This window comes from Homo sapiens, chromosome 2 (assembly GCF_000001405.40).
Source record: "Homo sapiens chromosome 2, GRCh38.p14 Primary Assembly".
Lineage (NCBI taxonomy): Eukaryota > Metazoa > Chordata > Mammalia > Primates > Hominidae > Homo > Homo sapiens.
In genome coordinates this window covers 235,343,534-235,358,095 of record NC_000002.12, presented here as the reverse complement: position 1 = coordinate 235,358,095, position 14,562 = coordinate 235,343,534, and the positions used below count along the sequence as shown (strand labels likewise).

Here is a 14,562-nt window from a genome sequence, read left to right as displayed (position 1 = left end):
GCGCTGCAGCCGTGGAGCGAGGCTGCTGAGGCCTGCGGTGGTGGCAGCTCTCAACCCCGAGTGTCACTGGCAGGCAAAACCCAGCAGCGCCTCCCTACCGGGCATCACACGCCTCTTTCTTTGCGCTTCGTTATTGTGGCTGAGGTGCACATGCCACGGCCGTCACTTGCCCCGACACATGTGCCTCTGGGATGAGCAGGGAAGGTGACACCCCCACAGGTGAATTTGACCAGTGGGAGACAGGGGCCAGTGGGTACACTTTTCTCTCCTCCCCACCTTGCACAGGTACTTGTTCTTGGAATGTCTCAAACAATAAGGAATGGGCTTTGGAGTGGGGCAGCCTTCCTTCTCCACCACGTACTTACTATTTACTTTGACTTTGTGCAAGTTGCACAACCTCTCTGAGCCTCACAATCATAATTTAATGACAACGGCAACCTGGCAGGGTTGCAGGGTTGTTGGGGTTGGCGGGGAAAGAAGGAACATCTATGAGGCACCTTTTTTTTTGAGATGGAGTCTTACTATCGCTCAGGCTGGAGTGCAGTGGCATGATCTCAGCTCACTGCAACCTCGGCCGCCCGGGTTCAAGCAATTCTCCTGCCTCGGCCTCCCCAGTAGCTGGGATTACAGGCACGTGCCACTGCGCCTCGCTAATTTTTGTATTTTTAGTAGAGACGGGGTTTCACCATCTTAGCCAGGCTGGTCTTGAACTCCTGACCTCGTGATCCGCCCGCCTTAGCCTCCCAAAGTGCTGGGATGACAGGTGTGAGCCACTGCGCCTGGCCTGTGAGGCACCTTCTACAGGGTCTGCACGCCATAGACACAATAGCTGCCATTAAAAAATATTAACATGCTGGGTGCGGTGGCTCACGCCTGTCATCCCAGCACTTTGGGAGGCTGAGGCGGGCGGATCATGAGGTCAGGAGATCGAGACCATCCTGGCTAACATGGTGAAACCCCGTCTCTACTAAAAATACAAAAAATTAGCCGGGCGTGGTGGCGGGCGCCTGTAGTCCCAGCTACTTGGGAGGCTGAGGCAGGAGAATGGCGTGAACTTGGGAGGCGGAGTTTGCAGTGAGCCCTTGGGTGACAGAGCAATACTCTGTCTCAAAACAAACAAACAAACAAAAAAACCCATAAACTTGTCTTGTGCGTTTGAAAATTAGGACTCTTACCAGGAAAATTTGGGTCTTCTAAGCCTCCATCCATGTCACCTGTGACCATAGAGTGGGTCATCTTGAATCTTTTCCCCGTCTGGGTACCTTGCTGATTTCCTTGCCTGCATCACACCTACCTGGTTCAAGGTGAAGTGGAAAGGTGTCAGTTACTCAGTGACTCAGAGACACAGCCCGAATGAAGAGGTATGGAGCTCCTAGTAGCTGACTGCATGAGCTCAGTGGGATGCCTCTTGCCAGCAAATGCTTTTCCCCTCTGCATCTGTGTTGGTGTCATCCACGCCTGAATGATGTTAAGGGAGGCCCCTGGTGGGACCTCAGTACAGCTTCTCTATGAGGGAGATCCCACCCTTTGGCAAAGCCAAGGCCGTGGAAAATGAGTTCATTAAATGAAGGCTCCCAGACACATGTCACTCATAACAACCATGCCAAAGGAGATCATTTCCTTTTCTGTTTCTGTTCACGTGGCCGGCAAAGCCAAAAGAGAAAACTAAGCTCATACAACCCATCAATCTAAAAAAAAAAAAAAAAAAATACTCAAACCACCAGAGGTGTGGCATAATCCTTAGAGTCTAAACAGAATGATCCGGCTGCCGTAAAGGCAGATAAACAGAGGCGAAATAATTTTTACAATCAAAGCCTCTCTCAACATTTTATGCATTATTTATAGTGTGAGGAGGCAGGGGCTTTCACAAAGAGCTACTTTTTGAACATATAAGATAGTTTAATATAAAAATCATCTCTGACTTTATTTTAATTTAGATTTCCATTTATTATGGAAGCAGTAAAATAAAAGAATCAAGCTTGACATCTGATTCAAATATCCAATTTCTTTACTTGTTATTCTCGGTAAAACACAAGCCTCTGTTTTTGTACTAATCCTTTAAAGCATTTCATTGGCCAGCCTTCATTATCTGTTTCCATTTTTTTTTTTTTTTTGAGATGGAGTCTTGCTCTGTTGTCCAGGCTGGAGTGCAGTAGCACAATCTCGGCTCATTGCAGCCTCCGCCTCCTGAGTTCAAGTGATCTCCTGTCTTAACCTCCTGAGTAGCTGGGACTACAGATGTGCTACTGTAGCCAGGTGACCACACCCGGCTAATTTTTGTATTTTTAGTAGAGATGAGGTTTCACCATGTTGGCCAGGCTGGTCTTGAACTCCTGACATCAGGTGATCCACCCATCTTGGCCTCCCAAAGTACTGGGATTACAGGTATGAGCCACTGTGCCTGGCCATCTGTTTCCTTTTAAATGCCCTTAAGATAGCACTGTCAGGCAGTGTGTGTGTTCCTGCAGCAGAGTCAATTCTAGATCCAGCATGAAATGAGATGAGATGGAAGCTGATGAGGCAGAAGGTCTGTATAAAAACTTAGTGCAGTTGTGCGGCTAGGTTAGAAAAAAATCTGTCCCCGGAGTGTGATGTTCCCCTTCCTGTGTCCATGTGTTCTCGACTGTTGTGGGGTTGGGGGAGGGGGGAGGGATAGCATTAGGAGATATACCTACTGCTAAATGACGAGTTAATGGGTGCAGCACACCAACATGGCACATGTATACATATGTAACAAACCTGCACGTTGTGCACATGTACCCTAAAACTTAAAGTATTATAATAATAAAATTAAAAAAAAAAGAAAAATAATCTGTGTAAGTTTTGCCAGCCTCTCATTTCCCCCCTCACTCTAAGCTCTGCTTTTCCAATGTCCTGTTGCCCAGGTGGAAGGAAATCAAATATGCATAAGCAATGCTGCTGACTGTGGTGGAAAACCTGAGGAATGTAGGTATTGCGCTGTTTGAATAAGTTAATTAGTAAACACAGTATTTGTAAATTAGCATCTGTTTGACTTTTTCCCCAGGGATAGTATGGGTTTGTCTTGATCTCTCCATATTAGCTGGCTCAGTCTCTTTGGACCGAGGTTCCTCAACCTCAACACGAAGACATTTTGAGCGTGCTGATGGGGGCTGTCCTGTCCATTGGAGGATGTCTAGCAGCTTCCCTGGTCTCTACCCACTAGATGCACCCACTACCCCCAGCTGAGATAACCAAAGATGTCTCCAGAAGTCTCCAAATGTCCTGGGGGCACAGTGAGTTGTGTTTAGAACCACTCTTTGGACCACAAGGGCTGTGCTGCTTTTCGAGGACACCCTCCCTTTCTTTCCCCTTGAGGAAGAGTAGGTTTCAAGGTCAGTAGGGTCAATCTATTGCTCTCTTTTTTGCAGAATTTGGATAGGAGAGGTGGGCAGAGAAAGGACAGAGAAGATAGGGAGGGTGTATGTAGTTCTCTACTCCTCCATTTTTAGGGGGGATATGAGAACTGTGTGACTCCCCTTGGAGAGGCTGCTCTCAATCTCTTGGGCTAAGGAGTCCAAGTGAAGCCAGGGGTGGGAGGCAGGGCTGGGCGAGGAGAGAGAGTAGCTGTGTTTTATGTTCATGTCCGAAGCACCCCGCACAGTTTCTGGCACATGGTGGGTGCTCAGAGGCTGGTCTGTCTCCTGAGCCTGTGTAGAAGGTGTGTACTTCCATCTAGAACACTACATTACCTGGAAGCAATGGTCTCCCTCCTGCATTCACAAGCAGAAGGGGCTCAGGAGCTTACAAAATCGTGGGTAAAAGCCACCCAGCAAGTGTTATGTCTTTTTGTATAACCTGACAGGAATGTTCCATTTTTATCACCTTCTTTCCCACTTACTAATGTTTTTGCTATTATTTTTATTATTACTCATTAATTGACAGATACATTTCTTTTTTTTTTTTTTTTTTTTTTTGAGATTGAATCTCACTCTGTTGCCCAGGTTGGGGTGCAGTGGTGTCATCTTAGCTCACTGCGCCGACCTCTGCCTCCCAGGTTCAAGTGATCCTCATGCCTCAGCCTCCGGAGTAGCTGAGATTATAGGTGCCTGCCACCACACCCAGCTAATTTTTGTGTTTTTAGTAGAGATGGGGTTTCACCCTGTTGCCCAGGCTGGTCTTGAACTCCTGGGCTCAAGCGATCCACCCGCCTCAGCCTCCCAAATTGTTGGGAAAACAGGTGTGAGCCACCACACCTGGCCAACAGATAAATGTCTTCCGAGTTTTCTTGTACAGTCTTGACAGTCGGATGGCTGCTAAAATGAACAATTCATTTGTTACCAGGACAGTGCTGAATACTGACAGGGGACTTTTCCTTGTGGTACCAGGACTCTGAGGATCGATTGGAGATGCAACTTTGGATGGGTAGATTGCAGCCACCAGTCTTACAGCAAGGTGATGCCGTAGGCCTTTAAAACATTTTACATGGCACGTGATTGGTTTTTGTGAGTATGTGGCACTGTTCAGGTCAAAGGAGACTGCAAATGAAATTCCCAAAGCACAACATGACATGAATTGTGGGTTTGGGTATACCATGTTGTGATTAAATAGAGCATATTCATATAACATAGCAGAGGGTGAAACATTATCGACGGAAGCCAGGTGGGTGTTTGTTGAGGTCTGTCTAGAGGCTGAGACTCTAAAATGTACATCTCTAGCCTCATCCTTTTTCCTGAATTCCAGACTTCAACTTGACCTTCCCACTTGGTCATCCAGCAGACATTCCAACCCAGTCCTGTCTAAAACTGACTCCCCAGTGCACCCCTCCTAGCTCCACCAGCCTGCCCCCTTCCCAGTGAATGGCAACTACAGAATTCCAGAGGCTCCTGCCAGAAAACTTGGCAACTTCCTTCACTTCTCTTTTTCTGTCTTCCCCCCACCATCAAAACCATCAGGAACCTTCCTGACACTTGACTGGCTTCAGAATAGATACAGAAACTGATTACTTCTCATGGCTCTGTAGCTACTACCCCGTTTATGCAGTTGGCATCTTTCTCCTTTATTATTGGGCTGGTCCTGCTCCGATCCCTGACCTCCTCTCCCTTTCCCTCCCCCACTCTTTTCTCAACACAGTTGACAAGAGTGGTCCTTTAAAATTAAATATGATCAGAACACTCCTCTACTCAGAAACGATCTCATGGGGTAGTTTTTCATTAGACTAGAAGCCAAAACTCACAACGCCCTCCAAGGTCAGCACGAATCTCCCTGCCATGACCCCCACCGCCACCCCACCCCCAAGCATTATCAGCCACCACTCTCCCCTCATCACCACCACCCTGGCTGCCCTGATGTTCCCTGACCCTGCTGGGCCCTCCTGAGCCTGGCCACTGCATTCGCTGCTCCTTCTGCCTGGAATACTCTTGCCAAATATACCCACACTCATTCCAGGCTTTGCTCAGAGATCATCTTCTCAATTTGGCCCACTCTGGCCATCCTATTTATAACTTCAACCTGCATCCCTTGCTCCTGGGACTCTCAGTCCTTTATCTGCCATTTCTGTAACATTCAGTCTTTTTTTTTTTTTTTTTTTTGAGACAGTTTCACTCTGTCGCCCAGGCTGGAGTGCAGTGCAGCATTGCAATCTTGGCTCACTGCAACCTCTGCCTCCTGGGTTCGATTCTCGTGTCTCAGCTTCCTGAATAGCTGGGATTACAGGTATGCACCAACATGCCCGGCTAATTTTTGTATTTTTAGTAGAGATGGAGTTTCACCATGTTGGCCAGGCTGGTCTCGAGCTCCTGACCTCAAGTGATCCACCTGCCTTGGCCTCCCAAAGTGCTATGTTGGGATTACAGGTGTGAGTCACCACGCCTGGCCCCCTAGTCTTCTATAATAACTTTTGGTAGCCTCCCTTTAGGGTCTGTCTGCTCCAGCTAGAATGTGACATGCTCAAGGCTGAGATCTTTGTCTTTTTTGTTCACTGATGCATCAAAGCACTGAGCACAGAGTCTGGTACACAGCAGTTGCTCAAGTGTATGTTACCTGAATGTGCATGCATGAACGAAACTCTCAGTTCTTCTCTCTCCACTCCCATCTTTTCTTTTTCTTTTAGTTCTGGAAGCATTTTTCCATCTGTTCTTTTAGGTTGTTTGTTTTCTACAATATACAACCAATTGTTTGCTGCCCCTGTGAAGTGAAAAGATTCCATTGTCCTATTTTTCATGTCTTTCGTTTTGATTTTAGGTGGCTCTTATTTCAAGATGGCTGGCTATGATTTTAAAGATGTAAAGTCCTTTCAAATCATATTGAGAATATAGTAGAGTTAAAAAAAATATGTTCTTGTACTTGCAGTAACTCTTTTCCTGGGCTTAAATTTGATTGACTTGCTCTTTCCTTGGGAACTGGCAAAGTCTTTTAATATGCTCAGTAGTCGTTTTCTCTCTGTTGACACTTGTTTGGGATTAGTGGCTGAGATGGGCTGCATCAAAAACTGTTGAGGTCACTGTTCTCATCTTTCGATCACTGTCACAAGGGAAGGGAAATGTTTAGACTGATCACAATTCTCCTTGACTGTTTAAACAGCTGATCATTTTTTTCTAAAGAAGGGCAGAGCTGTAGGAGAGAAAGGTAGCCCAGTGCTGGGAAACTGCCCTCCCAGCCAGTGGAGGTTGGTGCCTCCCCCAGCAATGCCCTCCCCCTTCCCTTACCCCTATGTCTCTGCTGTCTTCCAAGGATCATCTCTGTCTCTTGCAGCCTCAAGGAGCAGGCTTTAGGTGTTATCCAAACTCTCAGGTTAGCACTGAGGCTGGACCAGAGACCACACTGCCATCTTTTCACCCTTGACTGTACTTCATCGTTGCCATCCCTCCTTACTCAGGTCCACATGATTGCAGTGGCTTTCCAGGATAAGTGTGGGGAGGCGGGGATGGCCCCATGTGTCCTTCCTGAAGACTGCTCCACCCCACTTTTTTTTTCTTTTATTTTTTTTGAGATGGAGTCTCACTCTGGCACCAGGATGGAGTGCAGTGGCAGGATTTTGGCTCACTGCAACCTCCAACTCCCTGGTTCAAGCGATTCTCCTGCCTCAGCCTCCCCAGTAGCTGGGATTACAGGCACATGCCACCACGCCCAGCTAATTTTTGTATTTTTAGTAGAGACGGGGTTTCACCATGTTGGCTAGGATGCTCTCGATCTCCTGACCTCGTGATCTGCCCACCTCAGCCTCCCGAAGTGCTGGGATTACAGGCGTGAGCCACTGCGCCCGGCCTTCCACCCCACATTTTGCACAGAGGTAGGAGAGTGTCCCTCTTACCCCTCCCCATTCCTCTTTCTGGCGAACCCTTGGCTGCATGACATCATTGATATTTCAAAAAAGTAACAGAGAGCCCTTCCTCATTTCCAGTAGTATGTTAGCATTTCTTCTGTGGTGCTGGGTGGCTGGGAGAACTGAGGTGAATAGGTGGGCTTAGGATGCCTTCCTGGTCCTACACTGTATTTTAATTATTAACTACCCTATGTAAGTTGTGGGTTGTTAATAATAGTTAACTAATAATAGTAGTTGTGTGTTGTACATTGCAGGGTACCTAGAAGAATAAACATGATCCCTACACCCAAGGAAACCATCATCTGCTTGGGCATAGAAAAAACATCTCGCAGAGGCCATTGGCCCGTGTGCCTTCCATAGCACCTGACCCAGTTTCCCAGCCCTTCCTTTTGCCCCTGTGACTATGTGCAATCCTTGTTGCTTTCCAACGTCTCATGTTTCCCAAGAGCAGGTGTCTCTGTCTTCCCATTCTCATTCTCCTATGCTCCTCTCTCTGTTCCCACCCATGGACCTCCGTTTACCTTTATGGTGTTGTCCATCTCTGGAGTCCCCATCCTTGTCTGGGTGGAATGGTTTGTCTACCTCCTTATTCTACAGCTCCCCTGCCTGTTGCCTCCTTCATTCAAACACTTAAAACCAAATTTCCATGATGCTCCTCCAGTCTCCATGGACTCAGCTTAACCCGCTCTGCCTCTCCCCCTTCCAATTCCCGTGTCCTCTCAAAGCCTTTCTGGCAGCACAGGAGTTATTTTCTCTTTTTCCATCTCCCCGCTGTGGCTGTGGATTAGACCCTTGCCACTTCTCCCCTGGATGGTTGTGTCTTGTTTTAACTCTTGCCCCCGCCCTGGCTTCACTCCAGTGGAACTTAGGCAGCAAGGCTTCAGTTTGACTTCCCCAGACCAAGCTCAGATCATGTCATTTCACTTGCCCAAAAATGTCTTGCCAGTAACATGAAACTCACACTTCTTAGCTTGGCAGGGATCTGATGAGTTTGCTTCCTCCACGTCCGCTCGGAGTGTTCTTCTCCCTCCACTGCCCTCCCGCCACACTGGGCTCAGTGGCTCCTGTGTGTGCCCCAGGTTTCTCCACCATTGCTCCATCTCTCATCCTTCTGGGGTGCCTGACCCCCTAACTGTGCGTGTCTCATCCATCCCTCCTAGTCCTATCCCTGATCACCTAGCTGCAGAGTCCTTGGCTGCCTCTCCATTCATCTAGAGCTTCTTAACCCACACACTCTCGTGAACTATCTTTGTTCCTGGCATCCATGCACATGGCTTTTCGCCCTAAAGACTGATTCTTAACTCATTGTGTTGGGGACATAGTGCATTACACAGTATAGGCCTCAGAAATATTTCCTGAGTGAATGAATGTCAAATAATGGCTCTAGGTCACTCTTGACATTGTGGTGATTGTGTGGAGACCTGTGTTATCCATTCTCGTATTGCTATCAAGCACAACCTGTGAGACTGGGTACTTTATAAAGAAAAGAGGTTTAATTGGCTCATGCTTCTGCAGGCTGTACAGGAAGCATGGCTGGGGAGGAAACTTAAAATAATGGCAGGAGGCAAAGGGAAAGCAAGCACATCTTACGTGGCTGTAGCGGGAGGAAGAAAGAGAGGGGGAAGTTGCTACACACTTTTAAACCAGATCTTGCAATAACTCACTCTTGCCATAATAACACCAAGGGGGATGGTGTTAAACCATGAAAAACTGCCTCCATGATCCAATCACCTCCTAGCAGGCCTCATCTCCAACACTGGGGATTACAATTCGACATGAGATTTGGGTGGGAACACAAATCCAAACCATATCAAGGCCTTTGAGTGCTTATGGGCTGTCGTTATGAATATGAGTTTTCCAGTTAGACAGACTTGGGCTTAGGTACTAGCTGTGTGCTCTTGCAAGAGTTACTTAACCCCTCTGAGCCATAGATCCTTAAAGATAATAGCTCTCTCACACAGCTTTTGTGAGATGAGGCATGCAAGGCCCTCAACACAGTATTTGGCATGTAGTAAGTGCTCAGCATGTGGTAATTATTAATATTACTGTCTTTTACCTCCATCCAAAACCAAAACCCTTAAAAGGCAAGGGACCCTTCTGACCTGAACCCCGTAACAGTAGAGTGTAAAGCGAGCTGAGAGGCTCCAGGTTTTCTCATTAGCAAGTGGTCTCTCTGCACATGCTTTTCAGGGCGCCCAGACCTTCCCCGAATGACCAATTATTCACATGTCTTTGACATTTGGAGGCCCTCAGGAGTATCTGAAATTGAGTACTTTAAATCAGTGTCAGGCTAGGCACAGGCAAGGATGCCTCTTGGGGTTGCAGCAGGGAGACCAACTAATTCCCCGTTCTGATTTCTCCGAGAGCGCTCCAGGTGGAAGCTGCCCAACACGTCCAATGTGACCCACAGCTCCAGGACCACCATGATTTGTGTGTGCTGACCTGCTCCAAATTGCCAGGAGCCAAGGCCAGCTCTGGAGACTCCTTTCTCTTCTTTATTTGTCTACAGTACAACCTTATCTTCCTAGGTGTCAGCCTTCTGTGCAAGAGGAGAAAAATTGCTTTCCGAAGGCAAAGCATTGTTTTATCAATAATGTTCCAATAAATCATAGCAGGCTTGAGTCCCAGTAACGAAACCAGAAGCCGTTGTTCTTTTATCTTATTTTTAGATGTTCTTACATGCAGCACCATTTCTAATAGAAGGAAAGGCAGTTACTTCCCATCAAATTCATAATGACTGTCAAGAATTGGTAAAACGCTCTTAGCTGAAACGGTCAATCGCTTTCTCAAACTCTCATGTGTGTCTCATTTCCTGTTATTAAGCAAGCCTTTGATATTGTATGGAGTTCGCTGATGAAGTATCTTCTTTTGATTTTATGGTTAAATGGTGCCTTGGCTGGTCCTTTTGATGCCTAATGACGATTGTCTTGGAGCTCCCTGGCTGTGCTGAGTCACAGAATCTGGTAATGTTTGAGGTCGCGATGACTCATCACACTCAAGAACACAACTTGATTGGGTTTTCTGTAAAATAAAAAGAAAAATGAGAATTTGTCAAAGACAAAACTTGGCAGTAAAGTCTAGGATTAGCGAGACTTCTGGGAGATTGGGGATTGGCTTGAGGAGTGAGGGCATCTAGGCTTTGGTTGTGGGTGTGTGGGTTTGGGGCCGGAGTCACCTGTGAAGAGCTCTGCATGGCGGTGGAAACTCATTAGAAGGGAAGTTACAGTGGAGACCCAGGAGTCGGCCCGTGGGCTCTGGGGGCTGAGGCCATGCCCTGGAGAGGGTTCCAAGTACAACGATGTCCTTGACGGGGAGTCAGATTTCACCAAAGCCAGGAGCATTCTGTGGGGTATGGTGAGGCTGGGCTGCATGTTTTCAACGGAACAAAGTTCCAGAAGCAGAGCAAAAAGGTCTCGAAAGAGAGGAATGTTGGGAGAGCCGGGACAGAGCAGAAAGGGAGGAGTGGGCCAGAGACGCTGGCCTGGGGTTGGCAAGGATGAGAGCCGTGGCGGGACAGCCACCTTGCAAATTCAGAGTGGGTATAGGTGTGGCTGTGCTCCTAGGAATTGCTTCGATAGCATGTGTTTCCTGAAGCTTGGACGAAATGGAAATTTAAAGATGGAGAAAATGAGAGAGGAGGTGTTTGTACAACCTGATGCATCGGGGGGCCTGGCGAGACACAGATGGGACACTCAGGTCGGGTTATTGGAGGAGAGTTTGATGAGGGGCGATTTACAAAGGTGAGAGAAGGATGCAGGGATGGGGTCAGGGTCGGTGCACCCCCTGGGGCTAGTGTTAGTCTGGTGCTGTTACCTCTCTGCTGAACGTTTGTGTTCCCAAATTCTCATGTAGAAATTCTAGCCCCCAAGGTGATGGTATCAGAAGATGCAGCCTTGGGAAGTGAGTAGGTCCTGAGGGTGGAGCCTCATGACTGGGATTAGTGCTTTTATTATTAGAGACCAATGAGGGCTAATTAGTCCCTTGCACACAGCAAGGATAGAACGAGAAGGCACCGCCTGTGAGGAACTGGCCCTCACCAGACACCAAATCTGCCAGTGCCTCGACCTTGGACTTCCCAGCCTCCAGAACTGTGAGAAATAAATTTCTGTTATTTATAAGCCATCCAGTTTGTGATATTTTGTTATCACAGCCTGAACAGACTGAGACGCTAAGGTAAGGCTTAATAAGCTCAGATCTTTGGTCAGCAGAAAAGGGAGGCAGCCAGCTGGTGTGACTTCACTATGCTGGATTGGCGCTATTTGACATGAAGGAAGTTCCGTAGGAGGAGAGTGTCTGATGTTCATAGCATGCCTCACGTGGCCCAGCTATGAAGTTTCTCTCCTGCAAAGGAAGGGAGCTTCTTGTTGGGAAGTGAGCTCTTCTGACATTTCAAAATCTAATGTGTTCATAGAAATGGATGAGAAATTTTGAACTTTAATCTGCCCTTAAATTTCATTTGCTGATGTTGCTCAGAAGTGTATTGATTAGATCATTTCTACTTCCAGGAGAAAAGTTCACCTTTGAGTTAAGGCCAAGCTGGGAAAATGACAGTCAGAGAGAAAATTCGAAAAAATGGGAAAACCTGAAAATGGGGCTTCAGAGAGAAATTTCCTTCTCAGTCATGGCACTGTTGATCTGAATGTCGTTGTTTTCCTGTGTACACACACGTGCAACCAGACACACACCATCATGTGCATGCACACACACACACAGTACCACACCATACCATATACACCATACCCCATGCACACACATCATACCACATACATACATATCAAACACACACAATCACACATATGCACAACCACATACATAACCATGCACATAACCACACACACCACAACACACACACAATCACACACACCACAACAGACAACACAACCACATGCATGCACACACACAGCACCATACTACATACACCATAGCACATGCACACAGATCATGCCACATGCATATGTATTAAACACACATAATCATACACATACACACACAAATACAAACCCCACACAATCATACACAATCACATACACCGTAAAATGCACAACCACACATTAAAACACACAACATAACCATGCATACACAATCACATGCGCACACACGCAACACCACACCACACACAGCATACCACATGCATACACATCGTACTGCATACATATCTATTAAACACACACAATCACACATATACACACAACAGACAACACAACCATATGCACGCACACACCATGCCACATGCACACATCACGCCACATACATATATAAAACAAAACCAGACACACAAACACATACATACAACCCCAAACACAATATCACACAATCATCACACACATAATATGCACAACCACACATTACAACACACAACACAGCCATGCATACACAATCACATGCACACACACAACACCATACCACACACACCATACTGCATGCACACACATCATGCCACATACATGTTATATCTACACATACAATCACACATATACACAGTCACATATAACCACACACATACGCACAACCACATACATAACCACACCTATCACCATACATAATCACACACAACACACAACACAACCACATGCATGCACACAAACAACATACCACACACACACATATCATGCCATATCATGCCACATACACATATATCAAACACACACACTCATACTCACATCACATGAACACAGCAGCCACTTCCAGCCCCATCTCCACTTCTCCCTTAAGTCAGGCTGCTTTGACAGGAGTTAGATTTCAGTGTGGAGTGGAGCCATCTTTCTCTACTAGAGCACAGGCGACCGCAGACAAGCTGTGTGCCTGCCCTGGGTGGGGGACTCACAGTTGGCCCTGGGCAGCCCTTACCAGAGGATCCACATTGATGGCACAGAGGTGTGAGTAGGCGTTCTATTTACTGAAGCTCAGGGGCAACTTTGACCTTCATCTTCTTCAGAATTCTGCAGTTCTGTGTGTGTGTGTGTGCGTGCGAGTGAATGTGTGTGACTGTGTATGACAGTGTGCGAGCATGGTGCTTTGTGTGTGTGTGTGACTGCTAGTCAACGCATGTGATTATGTGAGTATGAATATGTGTGTAAGTGTGTCTGTGTGTGTGTGACTGTATGACAGCGTGTGAGCATGGCTGTGTGTCTGTACACAACTGAATGCGTGTGACTGTGTGAGTGTACGCAATGTGTGTGTATGCAACTGAATGCATGTATTAGGGAGTGTGTGAGCGTGCCTTGCAAGAGCTGGTGTGTGTGTGAGTGTGCCTGTGTGTGTGCCTGTGTGAGAGTGTGCAAGTGTGTGTGAGTGTGCCTGTGTGAGTGTGGGTGTGTCTGAGCATGCCTGTGCAAGAGCGTGCTGGTGTGTGTGAATGTGCCTGTGCAAGAGTGTGCAGGTGTGTGAGAATGCCTGTGTCCTAGCGTGCAGGTGCATGTGAATGTGCCTTTGTGAGTGTGGGTGCCTGTGAGCATGCCTGTGCAAGAGCATGCTGGTGTGAGAATACCTGTGTGAGAGTGTGCAGGTGCGTGTGCCTGTGTGAGTGTGCAGGTGTGTGTGTGCCTGTGCAAAAGAGTGTGTGTGTCTGTGTCTGTGTGAGTGTGCATGTGTGTGTATGTGTGTGCCTGTGTGTGGGTGTGAGTGTGCCTGGGCGAGAGTGCACTGGTGTGTGTGAATGCCTGTGTATGAGTGTGCATGTGTGTGTGTGTGAGCTTGCCTGTGGGTGTGGATGTGTGTGAGTGTGCCTGTGCGAGAACGTGCAGGTGTGTGTGTGAGCGTGTGGGCGGGTGAAGGGGCGGGGAGAGATGGTAACCCCGTGTGTGGGAACAGAGCCGAGGACAGTCAGCTTCATGAATGATTTAGTGGAACTTGTCGGTTTCCAGGAATGTGTCTTGAGTAAATGCTGCAATCCATGCTCTCCTTGAAAATCTGGGCTTAAAGGCCCAGAAGCAGCACGCTATCAAACTTCCGGGTTTAGGCTCTTCCCACGCCCTCACCCCAATTTGGTCTTTCTGTCCGGACTCTGTTTTTAGGCTCTCCGCGTGGGCACTGGATACAAGTGTTCCTTGTGGATGTGGGCATCTGGGCAGCTGCTGAAACTTCCGCCTCCCCTGCTGCGATTCTCAGTGGAAAGAGCAGAGGGCCACTCCCAGCCCCCTGAGGTCCCCAGGGGATCTCTGGTTTGCAGGGGAGGAAGGCTTTGTACTGGGTGAAAGGGCAGAGAGAGCCCCTGGGTCCCTGACCTCTCCCCGCCTCTTCCCTGGGGTGATTGATGTTCTTGGGGAGCCTTCCTCAGTCTC

At 47.6% G+C, this 14,562-nt stretch overlaps 1 annotated feature.

The window, feature by feature from the left end:
* Positions 9,615-10,814: an enhancer, noted in NCBI's record as "P300/CBP strongly-dependent group 1 enhancer chr2:236255926-236257125 (GRCh37/hg19 assembly coordinates)". NCBI's record gives its function as "activates an origin of replication core promoter dependent on BRD2, BRD4, P300/CBP, MED14 and CDK7 cofactors, with strong dependence on P300/CBP, by STARR-seq in HCT116 cells {active_cell/tissue: HCT116}" and the evidence as "EXISTENCE:reporter gene assay evidence [ECO:0000049][PMID:35650434]".